The sequence below is a fragment of the Homo sapiens genome, chromosome 4, assembly GCF_000001405.40.
Source record: "Homo sapiens chromosome 4, GRCh38.p14 Primary Assembly".
Taxonomy (NCBI): domain Eukaryota; kingdom Metazoa; phylum Chordata; class Mammalia; order Primates; family Hominidae; genus Homo; species Homo sapiens.
Genome location: NC_000004.12, coordinates 172,749,476 through 172,769,234, shown reverse-complemented (window position 1 = coordinate 172,769,234; position 19,759 = coordinate 172,749,476). Strand labels below are relative to the sequence as shown.

The 19,759-nt window shown below is 36.3% G+C and overlaps 1 protein-coding gene across 8 annotated transcripts in view; it reads right to left on the bottom strand.

Moving 5' to 3' along the window:
- Nucleotides 1-19,759, bottom strand: part of GALNTL6 (polypeptide N-acetylgalactosaminyltransferase like 6) — a 1,228,156-nt gene that overhangs the window by 272,325 nt on the left and 936,072 nt on the right. Inside the window, exon 2 of one of the 8 annotated variants that reach the window (XM_011531997.2) lies at nt 7,196-7,313. The exons of the other annotated variants lie outside the window; for them this stretch is intronic. Coding sequence (XP_011530299.1) covers nt 7,196-7,199 — 4 coding nt within the window. The 5' untranslated portion in view covers nt 7,200-7,313. The remainder of the gene's footprint in view (nt 1-7,195; nt 7,314-19,759) is intronic. 8 annotated transcript variants of the gene reach the window in all.

Here is a 19,759-nt window from a genome sequence, read left to right as displayed (position 1 = left end):
TGTCTCTGAATCACTGCCTTGATTGTGCTACTCTAACTACTCTAACACCTTCAGTGGCTCCGTAGGCCTAGATTATGAGACTGCCAGATGAATTGCGGGTTTCCAAAATACATTTGGATTCATTATTTGCATGAAAATACTTATAGTTTAAAAAGTTTATCACTTGCTAAATCTGACAATCCTACTTTAAATATATTCTACACTGTGCCTTTGCTCAACTGCTTATCTGTTTGCGGACCAGCAAAAAGGCTATCCTTTGAAGGAGTCAGTTTCCTCCAAGCAGAAGTATCTCTCTCTTGTCTGAACTCCACTGAGACAGGAACAATACAGACAGGGTGGTCACAGGAGAACAGAAAATTCCAAGCAGCAGTTTCACATGTCTAGCAAGTGGAAACTGTTGAAATAGCTGCATAAACAGCTGATAAGACCCTAAAAAACCAAGGTGTAGGTCAAGTTGGCTAAGACCCACTGGATCCACCATGGCACTGGATTTGACCTAGGTTTCTCCTAAGACCTCAGTAACATACAAGTCACACACCCACCAGTGTCTTAGTTCCAGGCACATTCATATTTGGTGTAAAAATGGTGGCACCACAAGTCCAAGAAATCACCCTTTTCCAGGAATGTTTATAAATATTCTACCCTTTAGTTAAAGACACCCATAGAGGTAGCAGCCCCAAACCCCCTTGCATGAATCTTTCTTGAGTATACCCACACTCCTCTTTCTTGAGTGTGTACTTTTCATTTTTCAATAAATCTCTATACTTTCACTCTTTTCTAACTCATTCTTGAATTCGTTCTCACAATGGTGTCAAGAGCCTGGATACTGGCTGAGGTCAAGTTCCCACCAGCGTTTGGGGACCTCCCATACCCCACTGGTATCACTGTGGCTCTTGATTTGTACTTTACCTACTCTATGTATTCCATTCTAGTTTACCTAATTGTAATTTGTCTGCCTCTTCTCTCTCCTGCTGATTGTAAGTTCCTGGAGAACAAGGGTCCATGTCTCTTTCATGTTTATATACCTCCAAGGGTAGCACTGAGTTCCATACATATTAAGCATTCAATATTTATTGAATAAATCAATAAAATAGGATAGACTTCAGCCTTTTAACTCTAAAAGGGAATTATCCTTTCTCAACATTTAGCATCTATCACTCAGAAAGAAAGAGAGAAAAATGCCTTGGTGGCGGGTATGTGTGCAACGTGAGAATAATACCTAGCCTTCTTTATACCTCTTTGCAGTCTGTTAAAATAATGAGTTCTCGGCCAGGCGCAGTGGCTCACGCCTGTAATCCCAGCACTTTGGGAGGCTGACACCGGCGGATCATGAGGTCAGGAGATTGAGATCATCCTGTTCAACATGGTGAAACCCCGTCTATACTAAAAATACAAAAATTAGCTGGGCGTGGTGGTGTGCTCCTGTGATCCCAGCTACTTGGGAGGCTGAGGCAGGAGAATTAATTGAACCTGGGAGGTGGAAGTTGCAGTGAGCTGAGATGGAGTCATTCATTGCACTCCAGCCTGGGCAACAGAATGAGACTGTCTCAAAAAAAAAAAAAAAAAAGAAAAAAAATCAGTTCTTGAGTATCTCAAAAAACAACCCTAGAATTATTTTCTTCTTCACGGGAATGTTATACATTTCTAGTTTTACTAGAATTTTAAACTACCTTAAATAATATAGCAAGAATTTCAAAATACTAGATTTTCCACTAGTTAAGGGAAAAAAAGGTGACGTGGCCATAGGTAGTTGATGTGCAAGGCTATGTGGAGGAGTGGGGAGTCGCACAGCTTGGGCATTTGAAATGCTGCATGCAATACAGTAAAGTTCTGAATGTTGTGGGCATGGATTTTATTTCTTCAAGGCTTGCATTTTACACTTCTTCATTGTATACATTGGTACATCCATGGGAGCTGTTCTGTGAAAACATCTGGCCTCTGTGATATATTTTCATTCATTTTTCTATCAGGTTATATTGAGTTTTCTGATAAGTGTTCTTACCACTGTATTCTCATTTCAACAGATAAATTGCATCATTTTGGTTGTTTCTGATCTGACACAAATAATACGTTGAAAGACAGCCCAGTTTAATCCTTTGTGGACAGGTTTCACTGGCTCCCATTCTCATGCAATATTCTTTAGCTCTTATTTATTAACTGTTTTTCAAGAACTTAGATGCAAATTGCATAGTGCTGAAAAAGCAATGCCTAGGAACATCGTTCTGGGTTCTCATAGCCTCATCAGTATGTAAATCATTGAGTAGAATACAAATGCCCCACCAGCAAAATAGTCAGAATGGTGCTTCTACCAATGCATATGGATGAAGGCATGGCCAATAAATTCCTTCTCCAAATATGTTCTCTTGTTGCATTATTTATGGACTTTGAAAATGCAGGTTGACTCCTGCAGTAATTCGTTGGCACTATTCTCTTCCTACTGGGGTCTGTGAGCTGTAACCTGATCCTTGGATGAAAAGCATTTATCCTTTCCTTGACAGAAAAATTGTTACTCTAGACCAGCAACAATTGCACTAAAAGAAACTTCTTTTGAGACTTTACAACCTTAGAATTTGGAAGGACAGGTGAAGGTTTTCCTGCTTTGGCTGCTTTTATGTATCTAGACAATTATTTAATGATGGTTCTCCATAGTCCTTTTTAATTAAAGTTGGATCTTTAAGGCATGTTGCCTTACTTGGACATTTAAGTAACTATTCTTAGTACTATTTAGTTCAGGTTCTTCTTCCCTCATTATGTTAGAGACATTGAACGCATCCACAGAGAGCCACACTTGTTAAGCAAATTTAATGTAAAGCATAGACTTTTTCAAGGAGCCACAAAAGGGAAAAAGACTTTTTGCAACATAGACTCGGAATGCATAAAATACTTCAAATAAGTGAAATACTGTTTTCAGGGCAGGAGGATTGTCTATTAAATATCCAAAAATTTCACCTGGGAATGAGTACTTTCTTTTTGCCTAAAACCTAAAAATTCCCTTACAACACTGTACAAAGTAAGTTTAGGGACCGAAAGAATGTACTCAAGCTGAAGAATCGTTTAATCAGTTGTACATGGAATAGAGGTGTAGAAGAGAGAGGCAACAGAGGAATTGGAAGAGAAACCATTCCATTTGCCCGACTCTTTAATGAGCTCTCCTGTTTCTTCATTCTCTTCATTTCTGCTATCATGTTATATTTGAATGCTGCTTGTAGGTAGTCCAGTCTTAGAGAAATTTATCCCCCTGAATGGTTTTCCTTTTTTCTTTCTCTAATATCATTATTGAACCACAGCTCTGAAATATGGCCTTGAAATATGGTGTCTTTTCTTTTTTTAAAAAATATGGTTATTTTATATGCTTTTTTTTTTCTTTTCAGCAAACATGTGATTTTTTGGGAAAGTTTTGTCTGAAAATTACCCTCACCCTTTGCTTGATGTATTTTGGATGAGTATGAAGAGATATCTAGAAACACTCTATGTTCTCATCTGAGCTGTGTGGGAGACGACTGAAGAGGAAATAGATTTAGCAGGCAAGTATCAACACAAAACTGTCAACATCTAACCCACTCAAAAGCTGCATAAGAAATACACAGATTTTTATCACCCATCTATTTTCTGGTGCTACTGTAATTTCATGTAATCAGATTTTACAGTGGTGAGCTAATTTTTGGACAATTAATGAACAAATGACTACTCAGAGTATGGACAATTATTTAATAATAAATGAATTAGGGCAGAATATCCAGCTCTGTGTTCTCCATAAGTGTTTACTCACTTCAGATGAATAAGCAGTCAATTCCATGAGATATTTACCAAACAAGGACTTAGATGGATTATAGGGTGTTTGGGATTCATATAGTAATTTTCCTCTAAAATGCCAAAGAACTATATAAACATGAAACTAAATTTTCTAATATATCACTTTTATAAAAAGGTCAAGTTTTGGAAATATTTTTACTTCTCATTTTATATTTTGGGACATTTAATTTTCTATGTCACTGCAGTTGATCCTTCTGCATTCTCCATGTAATACAAATGTATTTCTCTCTGTCTGTGTTGCTGGTTTCATTTTTGTCTTAATTGCCTCCTTAGCACATCCTCCTGAAGTGCCGTTGACCACTCTGTGATATACAGTTGAAAACTCAGTTGCTGTTTCCACAAATCAGTACTCAAGGGAACCAGGAGGATAATTAATTCCTGGATTGCTATTATGCTAGTTCCAGAGAATGATAGCTTATTCCCAAGTATCATCTTTTGCTCGAATATATGTTCTTTGGTGAAAGAAAACTGAACACTCTCTTCACAAAGTTCTTCCTAAAAATCCCCAATAACACTTCTTCACAAGTAAACTTATTTTAAGATAACTATGCAGGTCTTGTGGAATTAACCTTCAGTAGTCTATATAAGACAAACTATCTCTAAGTTCACTTTTTAAATTTTTTTATGTACAGGAGTACATATAAGATAATTTGTAAATAGTGAGATAAATAGCAGAAGAAACTCACATGTGATTCTATTTTTGAGACAGAATCAATGTTCACCTTTTGATTTTTTTTTACTTTCAGGTGCACATACACACAGGATACCATCATACTTTCTGACTCAACAATTGAGCATTTATTCATTTTACTGGTAATTCGTCAAAAAGATCACTTTCAGAGTTTTTTGTTTTTTTACTTTTACTTTGTAACCTATGTATTATTAGGTTATGTCATATTTATTTCATCATTCTTATATTTAATTTTAAAGTATGTTTTTATTATAAAAATAACTGTACAATAATTATTATATATAACTAGTTTTAGCTGATTATTTCCTTAAGATAGATTCTAGCATGAAAATTATTAGACAAAGGCAAAAACAAACAAATGGATCTCCAGTTTTGATGTATATTTCCAAATGGTTTTTCAACATTTTAATAATTGACTTTTTCATCTTGTGTAATAAATTATTTTCTCTCAATTTGTTAGAAAAAAATAACACTGGCCAGGCGCGGTGGTTCGCGCCTGTAATCCAGCACTTTGGGAGACGAAGGCGGGCGGACCATCTGAGGTCGGGAGTTTGAGACCAGCCTCACCAACATCGAGAAACCCCATCTCTACTAAAAATACAAAATTAGCTGGGCGCAGTGGCGCATGCCTGTAATCCCAGCTACTTGGGAGGCTGAGGCAGGAGAATCGTTTGAACACAGGACATGGAGGTTGCTGTGAGCTGAGATCGCCCCATTGCACTCCAGCCTTGGCAACAAGGGTGAAACTCCGTCTCAAAAAAAAAAAAAAAAATACACCTTGTTTGAAATTGCTCTTTTTTGATTATTAGTAATATTGAATGTTCTTCATTTGTTTATTAGTCATTGATATTTCTTTGAATTTCCTGTTAGTGTGGCTTATATTTTTAAAATGCTGAAGTATTGATCACGATTCTTAGGTCTTCATTTTTATTCTAGGGCTACATGAAAGAGTTCACAAACACTATGCTTTGTAGAAAATCTAAGCCGCTTGTTTAAGCACTGCTATTTCTCTGATTCTAGGAGTCTGGTGAGATCACCCTTCTCATTAAAGGCATCTGTCAAATACCTGTGCTCAGTGTTAAACAAGCTCCATAGATACGATGCCTTTACTCTAAGCATTTGAGATGCTGATTGTGAAAGCTTTTGAAAGATGTTTATACAAGGTAATTATTCGTCTACTTAGTTCATTGTAATTGTCTGTTTTAAGAACGCTTAATAGAAAAACTGGAATTTGTAAGATAAATGACAATGGAATGATTTTCAAACTGGTTTCTTTCCTTCCAATTTTACTCTATGACTTAAGGGCATCTAACTGTTAAAAAGAAGTAGAAAAATAAATTATCAAGTATTCTTTTGATCATGAGTGAGAAAATAAATCTAAGACTGGGATGTTTTAATGAAAGAAAATGCCAGGTATAGCTGAATATTGCAGGTCCTGGACTTTCTATTTTCCTTACTTCACGTTCTCTCTGATTACTTATAAGTAGATTTTACCAGTGCATTTGCTGTGATTCTCCAGTTTTGTTTTTTTTTTTCAATTCATGGCATATGTACTTCTCGACTGTCTTTAGACTGTAAGACACTCAGCTGTAATAACTGTTTTCTTCTCCCTTAGTACCGCTCCTGTGTCTATCTGGATGTATGATGACAGTGCTCTGTGTCGGTAAATGGTGACTGATGTATATGCTACTCAAGTGAACCATGAGGGTAATTCATTTTTTTTTTTGTCTGCAATGATGTCACTGGCAGCCATCATATGGCAGACTTGAGAGTTTTTTATTTAAGTAAAGAGAAAGTCTTAAATTGTGAAGCTTTTCTAATGTTTTTTAAACAAATATTTATCTTCCTTACTGGGAAAACTTGTTTTTCTGATCTTTGAGTCCTCCAAATAGTTGGAGGAATGCATAAATCGATGTTACTTTCACTGGGTTTTTTTTTTTTTTTTTTGAGTGAATCTGCTGTTTGGATAATTTGAAGAGTAATTTTTATTCAACCTTGCTTTTTTTCTACTTCAAGAGTTAATTGTGGTATGATCAGCAGGACATGTTATAATGTGCAAGGCTTCTATATAGCTGCATAACTGTGATTAATGTCACAAGATAAAATCAGAATATCATGTTAAAGAAAATTCTATAATTTAAATAAACTCAAAAGAGAGCTGATGATGGGGTTTGGGGAAAGAGACATGGAGAAAACAGACTAGAAAAGGTAAAGACAGAGCCTGGGGATTTTCCACGGGCAATCTCATGTAGTTTCATGTTACTCCTTTTTTTTTTTTTAAGTTTGACACAGTCATTTTTCTTTGGTATAATAGTTATTTTTTGATCCCCCTTCACTAGCATTTATTTAGCAGCTTTCTGAATAAAGGCTAAATTAAATGGCATACAGCCAGTTTCATTAATGGAAGAACATTTATATAATTCGGTGTCTCAAGAAGTGAATATTTGAATCTGTCAGCCCCCTGTATTTGACTTTTCCCTCTTGTACCTCTGCAGTTGAATGAGCAGAAGCAACATTGCTGCTCAAGTACGCTTTTGCAGGCTATTAAAAAAATGAAAATCTACAAAATAAGAGTGCTCCAATTTTGTCCTTTGACATGGTATGCAGATTTTTAAAAATTAGATACATTACTTGAGCACAGAAGAATTTTTTTTAATTGGAAAATAAGTAAAAAGATCAGTAAACATTTACCCATTCTTTGATCTGGCGCAGTTTACAGTCCCTGGTGTCAAGGGCTTGTATTTAAAGATTTGTCACTTTGCACTGTATACTAGCTGGTTTGATCAGGTTGAAGATCCCAACATGTTTTCTGAGAAATGGGAACAGTGGAAGAACATTGTATTAGTTCGTTTTCACACTGCTATGAAGAACTACCAGAGACTGGGTAATTTATGAAGAAAAGAGGTTTAATTTACTCACAGTTCTACAGGCTTAACAGGAAGCATGACTAGGAGGCCTCAGGAAACTTACAATCATGGCAGAAGGTAAAGGGGAAGCAAGTACGTTTTACCATAGTGGAGCAGGAGAGAGAGAAAGAGAGAGAGAGAGAGAGAGAGAGAGAAAGAGAGCAAGGGCGAAGCTCTCACACTTTTAAACCATCAGATCTCATGAGAACTCATTCACTATCACTAGAATAGCATGGGGAAAATCCATCCCCATAATCCAGTTACCTCCCATGAGACTCCTCCTTCAACACATGGGGATCACAAATCCACATGAGATTTGGGTGGGGACACAGAACCAAACTATATCAAACATATAGACATCAAATAAACATTGAAAAAAGAAATGTCTTCTCTAGTAGCTTATCCCAAATCATACTCAATCTATAGTTTTCTGGACTCTGATCCTAGATTTTTAATATAATACTGATTACTTTAAATTGGTCCCTAAAGTGTGTTTTATAATAAATATTTCCTCCTAGGTTTGCTAGTGAAGCACACACAGTAGTATACATCCTCCATAAAGTTTTCTTTACTCAGAACCAACAGTGGTAGAATAATTTCTCAGATTTAAAAGAGGTCTAGGTGTAAATTCTGCAACTTGTACCACCTAATTTTTTTTTCCTGAAAGGCAAGTATTTATGGGAACAGGCTATAGAAGGGACAACATCATTGTATAATTTGGCCTATTCTTAGTTTCTCTAGGCAGGCCCCATTTATTCTCTCCCTAGATTTTTCCTTGTTCAGAACTTGTTCACTCCAAAGTTGCCTAATCAGGAATTGACTCCCTGTTTCTATTCTCTCTTCATCGAGCCTCTTTTTCTTACTCTCATCTTTCCTATCCTTTTAATCCATTGGCTCCTTATGTTGGTCACTGCATTTAGGCAACCGTTCGGGTTACTTTGTCAATTTTCTCATTTCTGTGGGCTCCTCCAACACCACCAATCACGAAAGGCCCTAGCGAGGCATGAGAGGTCCTCCTATCCCCTGCTGGTCAGGACCCACATTGTGGGGGGTAGTCGGTGGGGCGAGGGATCAGGGTCCTCCTAGAAGACAGAACTCACACTCTCCAGTGTGAGTGCAGCTGGCTGAAGGGCACAGGTCAGCAGGGACCAGTGTCCTTGACCCTCTGCTTCATTTATTGACAGTGGAGGTGGCTAGGAAGTTGCAGGCCAGGGCATGTTATTTCTGGGGCAGTTGTAGAGAAGCAGGGCATCAATGTTCTTAAGAGTGAAAAACAACTCTGCTTAGCAGAAAAGAGGTCATCACAGCAGAGCAAGCATCTCAGGGTAAGGTGGGAAGGTGAGAGCAAAGGAGCCAGGGGGACTTGTTTCAGAGTAGGTCTATTTTTTAAAAATTTCAGGAATAGTTGTACTAATTATGACCATTAACTAAACCTCCAACCCAAGACTTTTACTTCTAGGTATGTTCAGTGCACATTTCTACAAGGAAATATTTTCAAGGCCTTTTGTAGCAGCCTCCTGTACATAACAGGGTGATCCTAAAGCTGAGACCCACAAGGAGGAACTGGCCCACATCAGAGGTTCTGAGAAACCAAAGTAATCGGGTTCAGCCTACCTACAGAGTTCACTGGGTGGTTGACTGGCCCCATTCTCTCATCACAATCCAAGTTGACATAAGAAGAGGTGTGGTGGCCGGGCGCGGTGGCTCACGCCTGTAATCCCAGCACTTTGGGAGGCCGAGGCGGGTGGATCATGAGGTCAGGAGATCGAGACCATCCTGGCTAACAAGGTGAAACCCCGTCTCTACTAAAAATACAAAAAATTAGCCGGGCGCGGTGGCGGGCGCCTGTAGTCCCAGCTACTGGGGAGGCTGAGGCAGGAGAATGGCGTGAACCCGGGAAGCAGAGCTTGCAGTGAGCCGAGATTGCGCCACTGCAGTCCGCAGTCCGGCCTGGGCGACAGAGCGAGACTCCGTCTCAAAAAAAAAAAAAAAAAAAAAAAAAAAAAAAAAAAAAAAAAAAAAAAAGACTATAAATATTTCAAAGAGTGCAGGTGCAGGATTTATGAGGAAAAACTATTCCTTCTCTGTGTAATATCCTAAGAAAGTCACTTCCCTAGTTCCTGTGTACCTGAGAGTATGGGATACTGGCATGGGAGACAGCATAATGTTCATGGTTAGTGCTACAGGAAGAGATGGCGGAGTGAGGACACAGTCAGGTGGAGGAGATTCTGCACACACCCCCTGCCTATGGGAGGAGACCCTAAAGGGTGGATGAAATTGTTGACTACAGTCTTACCCAAGTGACAAGAGGCATTTTCAACTAAAGATCAGTGGTATGACATATATGATTGCATCCTGCAAGGGACCACTAGGCCTGAAGAAATAAAACTCTTCACATGGATCTGACTGGTAATAAGCCAGAGTGATCGGTGTGATGCCTGTTCCAGTTTGTAGAATTTGACTGCTTCCATCTCACTGGCCAGAATATGAACATGGTCACACCTACCTTGAAAAGGGCAGAGAATTTCATCCACCATGCACCCAAAGGAGAATTGGCTAATAGTGAACATTGGTAATTTCTAATTCATCTCCCCTATTACCTGCACAGATGCAATTTCTGAGTGAATCTAGGCTAGGGGCTTGGTAAGTGGGTGAGTTCAGGGACACTCTGCTTTCATACAATGCCCTCTTCCTCTTCTTGTGGTTGTGGGCAAGAAAGTAAATAGAGGAAGCAGATGAAGGCTCAGAGCTACACCAGTGACACCTAATTTTACTGCAATAAGTTGAACCTCCTAGACTAACTGGTTATATTTCTAATAGAGAAGAATCAGGAAAAGCCTAAATATCTATTAGTAAGGGAGTGGACTGATAAAATGCATTGTACTACAATAGTCCCCCCTTGGGACTTTTATTGTCCTCGCATGGGAATGCATTCCAAGATCCCAGTGGATGCCTGAAACTGCAAATAGTTCTGAGCCTTATATATACTATGATCTGATAACTCAGAGGGCTGCTACGTGACTAATAGATGGGTAGTGTTTACATCATGGATATGCTGGACCAAGGGATGATTCATGTCCTGGGTAGGACAAAGTGAAATTTTGACATGCTACTCAGAGTGGTGTGCAATTTAAAACTTATGAATTGTTTATTTCTGGAATATCCCATTTAATATCTTTAAACCACAAAAAGTGAGATAAAGAGGAGCTACTTCAGCAACAAATTTAGATATACTGATGGGGATATATCTCAATTATGATATTGAATGAAATCCTTTCTTTTGTTTTTAGAGACACAGTCTCACTCTGTCACCCAGGCTGGAGTGCAGGGGCGTGATCTCTGATCACTGAAACCTCTGCCTCCTGGGTTCAAGCAATTCTCCTGCCTCAGCCTCCCAAGTAGCTGGGATTACAGGTGCTCGCCACCATGCCTGGGTAATTTTTTGTGTTTTTAGTAGAGGCAGGGTTTTGCCATGTTGGCCAGGCTAGTCTCCAACTCCTGACCTCAGGTGATCCACCTGCCTTGGCCTCTCAAAATGCTGGGATTATGGGCATGAGCCACCGCACCTGGCCTGAATGAAAATTACTATACAAAAAATTGTATAATATTAAGTTCAGTGAAATGTCTTTTATTTAAAATTAAAACATGTATACAATACTCTATACTTTTCATGAATATATAGATGTTTATGTGTACATAGGTGGTTGTGTGCACATAAAGATGGACTAGAAGTGTATGCCATCTTTATGATACTGGTTACCTCTTGAGAGAGAGGGAAAAAACTGCAGTGGGGTTGTGTTTAGGATGGAGGAAAACAATGCTTCAACTTTCTGTGTAATGTTTATTTGCTAATCCCAAAACACCACTATAGAACTTCGGCAGAATGCTTACAATTATTAATTTAGCATGGTAGAACATATGCTTTTGTGCTAATTATTCTCTGTACCTTTTTCTATTTTTATGATTTATCAAAAATTATATAAATCACAATGACAAGATAAACAGAAAAAAACACATGGGACGTAACATCTCAACATTTACTTTCCATTTGAAAAGGTAGACCACATTCAATTGTTTATGTAGGAAAGATCACCAGAATTAATATTTATGGAATGTTTCTCATATTTTATGTGTCAGGTTACTTGATATTTCCTAATTAGTTCGTGGATGTCCTCATTTGCATGGAGTTTGCATAATTTTGAAAGATGATCTTGCATTCAATTGATGTTTCTACTTTGTATAGGAATAGAGACTGGAAGTTGAGACAGAGGAGTTCAAGTTCTGATTTTAATGTTTCCTTATTGCATGACTTTATGTAAATATTATAATCCCTCTAAGCCTCAGTTTCCTCACCAGTAAAATGGAAAAAATATCACCTGTCTTAACTCTCAGGGCTGTTACCAAATCCTATAACCCAGTTGGGTTAAACTTTAAAGCCTGGGCAGTACCATAGTACATTAATTTCTGAATTTTAATTTTATTAACTAAAAAATAGATTGTTAAGAGAAGGACCAGTGAAGTAGAGAAACAGGAACACGAATTTTCTATTCCAATGTAGAAAATGCTTGCAAAACCTCAAGACCCAGGAAAATGTAGCTTTATTTTTTTCTCTGTTATCTGAAGAGTAGCCCACAGACTGTGCATTAGGTATTTCAGAGGGCAAAGGTTTGCCAAGGCCTGGCATACACCAGATGCTTAATCAATGGAAGCACTATCAATTTATTATTATTCATAATTTTTTACTTAGTTACAGGGCCAATTAATAATGGGAAAAAAGATGAAACTAGAACCTCTCCAGGATCTTTGCTAAGAAAAGAACATCAGATAAAATGCAGGTAAAACAAAGTCTTGCCTTCTAGCAATATCTTAAAAAAGATCAATGTAATCTTTCAAAAAACTTGTAAAATATAATTCTAAAATTAATGTTGGTCAGTTGTATATCACATTATATCCAGATAAGGGTGTATTATTTCACCCTTACCTGCTTTATTTGCTTTAATGCAAAACACTTGGAAACAGAGAAGTCAACCTTATATTTTAGTTCCTAGAGGAGGTATACAACAATGTCTTTGTCCTAAAAGAGGCATTAATTTCTTTATAATCATAAATCTCATAATATTTTATAATCTGTATAAAACAAACTCTTCTGCCAACTGTAGACACATCTGCTTTCTTTTTTTTTTTTTAGTCACACGCTGTTGCCGGGCTGTAGTGTGCAGTGACGCGATCTTGGCTCACTGCAACTTCGGCCTTCTGGGTTCAAGCGATTCTCCTGCTTCAGCCTCCTAAGTAGCTGGGATTGCAGGTGTACATCACCATGCCCCACTAATTTTTTGTATTTTTGGTAGAGATGAGGTTTCACCATAATGGTCAGGCTGGTCTCAAACTCCTGACCTCAAATGATCTGCCCGCCTCAGCCTCCTAAAATGCTGGGATTACAGGCGTGAGCCACAGCGCCCAGCCCCCATCTTATTTCTTATGCTTGCAATGGACAAATCACCAGTTATTCAAGTAGTGTTGTTCTATGATTATTTTTTTAATTGCATATTTAAGGTTCAACAACTAAAACCTACTAGAACTTTTGGTAAACCATGAACTTCTGTGATTGTTTTCACTGTAGTCCACTTCAAGTGCCAATTTTCTTTACAACAACTTTGTAAACTTTGGAATTAGTTGGCTATAATAACTTACTTCTGAAGCGCTTGCATTGCTAAGCTACCAGAATTCTGGTGCTCACTATCATTGATTACTACCTCTTTGGTTTTATTGATGAGTATAAGGCCTAATAATCATTGACAGCTAAAAAAATGCTTAGAGAATCTAAATTATAAATCCTTTTGCTTTCACGTTGGTACCAAATGAAGGGAGACTTCTATATGCTGTATCTCTCATCATTTAATACTTTGAAGTAATATCCCTAAGTGGTTTAAACTCATTAAATAAGGATACTGAGGAAAATATAATGAATATGGTGAATTCAAGGCACAGGAAGAATATGCCACAGAAAAATTAGTAGAAGTTAAAAGATGCCTTGTAAGAATAGATATTTCTAAAGTCAACACAAATTAATTTAAATAAAAGTCATAGTGCAATCTCCCAAAGCCTGCAAAATTTGACTGAAAATATACAATGCTTTTGTATGTTGTATCTGTTTTTAATTTCAAATAAATGAGTGAAATGAATCAAGGAGTTTTATCATGAATTTGAGGCTATATTTTAAAAATAAGAAAGACTGTAGTTTTGTTATTTGTTAATTCCAAGATAAAAGGTTCTCCAGGCTTCCACCCTTGTGAACCAGCAGTGTGCAAGGTACTTGGATAATATTGTTTCTTTAGGAGACAGACAACTGATGGAAACAGCAGGGATTCCATTCCTTTATCTGATGTTTGTGATACATCATCATTTTTACTTTTCTTCTAAAAACCACAGTCATATATTTTACTTCTCAAAAAACTTTGATTGAGTGGTATTCGGCAAGTGAATTTTTTTTTTTTTTTGCAATTTAGAAGTTTAATTGAAGTTTGTATTTTGTAAAAGCATCTATTTATCAATTATCTATCTATCTATCTATCTATCTATCTATCTATATCTGTCATTTATCTATCTCTTATCTTATGGCTTCTAAGTGGTCACTGATAATCCTTGAATGATTCAATCCTTAAATCCTTGAATCATTCTGAATGATGTAGTAGAATCTGCAAATGACCAGTGTACTGTGACTCAAAGTTAACCTGATGGAATAAAAATAGTATTAGTAAGTAAGTTAGGACAAATGGACTCTAGTGCAGGCTCAGTCCCCATCAAGCATTACTTTTTATAAAATCTGGGTGGGCAATTGGTAGTTTTTATGTCCTGCGATGACACAAGAGTTGGACTGAGGAGCTTAGGAACCACAAAAGATCTTCCTCATTCTCTACAGTCCCTCCCCTTTCCTTCATTAAGGAGCTTTGATCTGTTTTCATTTTCTTTTTTTTTTTTTTTGGTGGAAGTGAGGTTCCTTGAGTTTTTGTTGTGGATGCTACTATGGAATCCATAATTCTATTCTAAATTGTGGAAGAGTTGGGCCAACATTAGTATTTAGCAAAAGAACTGCTAAAGAATTCTAACTATAACAATCATTAACACCATCCATTCCATAAAAACATAGCTTAATTTTGTATTTTAGAGTTTAGATAGGAGATACTTTTGATAACCTATAATGCATATTCATTTTAGCACCAAGATCAAAATCTGTTTTTTTTAATTTATTTTCGAGATGGAGTTTTTCTCTTGTCGCCTAGGCTGGAGTGCAATGGTGCGATCTCGGCTCACTGCAACCTCCACCTCCCAGGTTCAAGTGATTCTCCTGCCTCAGCCTCCTCAGTAGCTGGGATTACAGGCATGCACCATCACATCTGGCTAATTTTTTGCATTTTTAGTAGAGACGGGGTTTCACCATGTTGGCCAGGCTTGTCTTGAACTCCTGACCTCAGGTGATCCAACCACCTTGGCCTTCCAAAGTGCTAGGATTACAGGTGTGAGCCACCATGCCTGGCTCAAAATCTATGTTATATTCTGTCTCTCTTCCTTTTCTGTATGTATGTATGTGTGTATACTACTTACATTAATAGAAAAGGAAGATTCACAGTTATTGATAATGACTGTCAGTTAAAATATCAAGAATATGGAAGGAGTTTGAGTGATAAGAAGACCTACACAATATTCCAAAATATTTCCACCAACCGTTGCCTGAAATGTTAGAGTTCTATACCTTAAATTTAAATCCTTATGTAAAAAGTATAATTTTCCTCCTTCTTTTGTGTAAAATTCTAATGTGCTCACATAATAAAAAGAATCTCTAAATTCAACCCAAATCTATTCTTCCCTCCTCTCTCCTATACCTATCTCTGTCTCCCTTCTCATTAGCACTGCAGAGCTGCTCGTGGGCATCTTTGTAGTTAAGGGCCTCTACTAAATCTTCCACAGATTTTTTTTTTGAACCAAGCAAACATCCTTTTGTTCTTTTAAAAAAATTATGGCTCAAACTAAATCTTACAATATTTTGCTTAGCTTCTCCAGACACTAAACTGCCTAGCAAACTAATCTAGATATTTTATTTTGATGACAAATTATTATATAATTGTGGTTATTCTATGATAGATCCAATTTTAAAGAATAATTATCAAAGATTTTAGGAAGTCCATATAGTGACAGCACATTTTTTTTTCTGTTTCAAATTGTGTTGCAACTTTAGAAACGAATGGTTTTAAAAAATAAATTGGGAAATCTTGCAATAGTCTTAAAATGTGATTTTTCAGTTTAAGAAGCCTAAGACTTTTTCGTCAAGTGATATTGTCCAAGATTTATGTGAGAAAAACTTCATCACATAATTTTACATAACACTTTGAAAATAATTCAAAATAACCTAAATATTTAATGATAAGGGTGTGATTAAATGTACTCTATTCATGTTTTAGTCTGTTCTCATGCTGCTAATAAAGACTTACCTGAGACTGGGTAATTTATAAAGGAAAGAGGTTTGATAGACTCACAGTTCCACATGGCTGAGGTGGGGGCTTCACAATCATGGCAGAAGGCAAAGGAAGAGCAAAGGCACATCTTCCATGGCAGCAGGCAAGAGAGCTTTTGCCTTTATAGAACCATCAGATCTCATGAGACTTACTGACTACCACAAGAACAGTATGGGGGAAACTGCCCCCATGATTCAGTTATCTCTACCTGGCCCTGCCCTTGATACATGGGGATTATTACAATTCAAGGTGAGATTTGGGTGGGAACACGGCCAAACCATATCAATTCACATGTGGAATCAGTAATTAAATTATATTTCTAAGACTTTTTTGATTATATTGAAAATATTCATCATAATGAAAATAATAGAATGTAGATGACTAAATTGAGTATATCATCTCAGTTTTGAAAGAAGACATATCTTCACAGAAAAAAATAAAATTATATCTATCAAAATAAATTAATTTCATTTGTGGGCTAGGAGATTGCAAGTATTTTCTTATTTCATAGTTCATAGAGTTTCAAAACTTTTAAAATCAGCATGGATACACAGTTTTATAATAAAAAGTAATCAAAAGTAAATTATGCAATACATTCAAATTATTTTTTAAAATCTTCATAATGTTGAACATAGTTATTCCACTTCTGGGACTATTTTTCAAGCAAATTATTCAACATATGGAAGAAATTATATTCTTGAAGTAATGCATTAAATATTTTAAAAACATAATTGTAAAAAATATAAACCTTTATACCACAAATTAAAGAATAACTAATTAAGCAACTTATGTTTCATTTACTAAATGGACATAATAGTTATTATAAATAATTATTATGGGTTTATGTATCTATGTGAGATAACATTTACTATTTAATGTCAAGTAAATTTGAAGTGCAAAATTGGATGTATATTGCTTCAGGGGAAAAAATGAAGGAAGTATGCCAAAATGCTAACCATATTGTTTGGGTGTGCTGAATATTTTTAACACATTTTAATTTATTTTTGTTATATTACATTTATAATAACATTTAGTTTTATTTTAAAAAGCCCACAAGCATTCAGCCTTCTTGAATTTCCTGATAATTAGTTGTTCTCACAACAGGACAGAAAATAATTAATATATATTACTTTTTTAAGCAAATGGTGATTAAACAAGCTTACCAAAAATTGATTTATTATTTGTACCATTCACAATAGGGTTTTTGGCAAGTTCTCACTTGTAGGGTTTTGGCACGTTCCCACTTGTGGGCTTTTTTTTTTTTTTTTAAGTTTAAGTTGATATGGATTACTTAACATAATTACTTATTCCTCTTAGGGCCACTGCATAGTCTATTAATCTAATAATGCTGGTTTTCCACCTTGATTTTTTAATGAAAGAGTTCTTGCAGGGTCATGAGAAGTACAAGCACGTATGACTTTGTACCTTCCCAGTGAAACTCAGACAGAATAATTTAATGAGCCAAAGAGACAGTCGTTAGCAAAGTTGGTAGACAGAACTGCTCAGACTAGAGGTGCTGCCATTACTTGTTCTAGCTGCTTTGTGCAGTCTTTCAAGAAACACCAGATATTCTAGACAGTGCATTAAACAGAACACTGGCTTTTGTGTCTTGTGGATGTGCCCAGAGGCTGTCAATTGGGCATATGCTGTGCTGTGAAGTCTGAAAATGAGGATCCAGCCTACACTGTTTTTGTGACTTCAAAAGGCTCAGGAACATCACCCTTCTTGTGGCATCACTTCCTGAAATTTTCACTGCCTTTCTTTGCAATTCAGATAGGATGGAAGGATTCTAAGGAGTGTCTAGCTCTGCATTCATTTTTTTCCTTTGTAGCATCTCACACAATGACAGAGAAAGATTAGTGAAATAGTTGGTGATATTTTTAAGATCAATAGTTTGTCCTATTAAGATGTGCTGATATTTTTTCCCCAGCACTTCTTAAGGCCATGGTTACCCACCACCTCAATATAAACATTTAACTTTGAGCCTTAACTCCATTTGATCTTTGATCTAAACACCTACAGTTAAAATCACAATTCTTTTTTTTATAATTTTAGTAATACTGAAAAGACTAAAGTCTCAACAGCCTTTGAAAAGTGTGTTAGTAATGTTTTCTCACTCTCCTGTTTCATTCTCAGTGAAGTGCTGTGCTAATTTTGTTTCTATCACTTCCATATGCGTAAAAGGTAAAATCCCAGTATAGAATCAGGTACCACAAACCACATATGCCTCAACAATAGCCCTTTATTATGTAGGATGCTTTGAAAGAACTGGGTAGTTTCAGTTCTGATATCACAACTCACCACTTCACAACCCACATATAAGATTTATAATTGAAATAGGACTCCTTTTTTGGAGATACATTCCTAGAACCTGGACTACTTAGATAACATTGAGGCTCCAGAGTCAACTAAAAGAATGTGTTGCCAGCAGACTTACCCTAAGAAAATGACTAAAGGAAGTACTCTAAACAAAAGAAATGAAAAAAGAAGGAATTTTGGAACATAATGAAAAAAGAACAAAGGAAAGAGCAAAAATATGGGTAAAATACAATAGATATTCCTTCTTCTTTTGAGTTTTCCAAAATATGTTTGACCTTGAAGCAAAATTATAACAATGTCTATTATGATTCTCAATGTATAAAAAGAAAATATTTGAGAGTATTATATTATAAATGGGAAAAGGCAAAGGAACGTCAAGGGAGGAGTTGCAGATTTGCAAGAGTGAAGGAAATGACAGAATAAAGCCATCCTGACATGAGAGCATTTTCCTAGAGGAGTTGAGTCTTGAAGGTTGTTGTGTGGGATTTGGCTCCTAGGAGGAATAGAGTACCTCCTGGTAGGTCATGACAATCACTCTGGACAATAATGTTGGCATCATTTGAAGTGGCAGGTACGAATCCTGCCTCTGATTCATTTGTGTGTAGCTGAGCAAAGGAAAGTTTCGTTGATTTAAGAGAAATAAGGAATCTTGATTAGATAGAAGACTTCCTTTGTGAACCACAAAACTTAATAAGTATTATTTTGAATGTTGCTTCACATTTTTTCCTTGAAAAATATGTCTTTCACTGTAAAACTTTGTTGAAGTTGTGTTATTGAAGTACAAACTCAAAATTGAGGCTCTATCCACCCGCAACCCTGAACTGGAGACAAATATACAGAAGTATTACTTAATGTCATACTGTACCAGAAATCTGAAGACCTATAGCAGATATAAAATTTTAACTCTTGTTATAAATTTTTAAAAGATTGTGAAATTATCAAAATGCACAAGAATCAGGGAACACTAACTAAATCATTTAGTAGTGCAGACATAATTTCAATAGACTGATCAATAAGAAAACTAGAAGCGTTTCTTCTGAAGGATAGCAATAACTATTTAAGGATATAGTTGAAAAAAGCTAGACCTTATTCACAAAATAACAAAACCATACTAAGGAATGACCTAATTAAAAGGTTGAGTCTACAAAGAGTAAATATCAGAAATATTGTGAGAATTATAGAAGACATGGAAAAATATATCATGTTCCTGGAAGGAAAGATTGAATAATATTAAGATGCTAATTCTTTTCAAATTAAGAGCTGTAAAGCTATCAAGTATGAAATTGGGAATTAGATATCACCCTAGACCTTAATAATATGATTGAAGATTTAATTTCAAAATAAACACAGCCAATATTATCTAAGGAAAGTTTAAAAAGAGGGATTTGGGGGGCTTAGGGACATGGGATTAACCTCCCAGCCACTTAAAATGTAGTAATTTTAAAAACAGTGTGTGTCATTTGTAGAATTGTGAAAACCAAATTGAATGCTCAGAAATACATTCTCATATAAAAACTTAG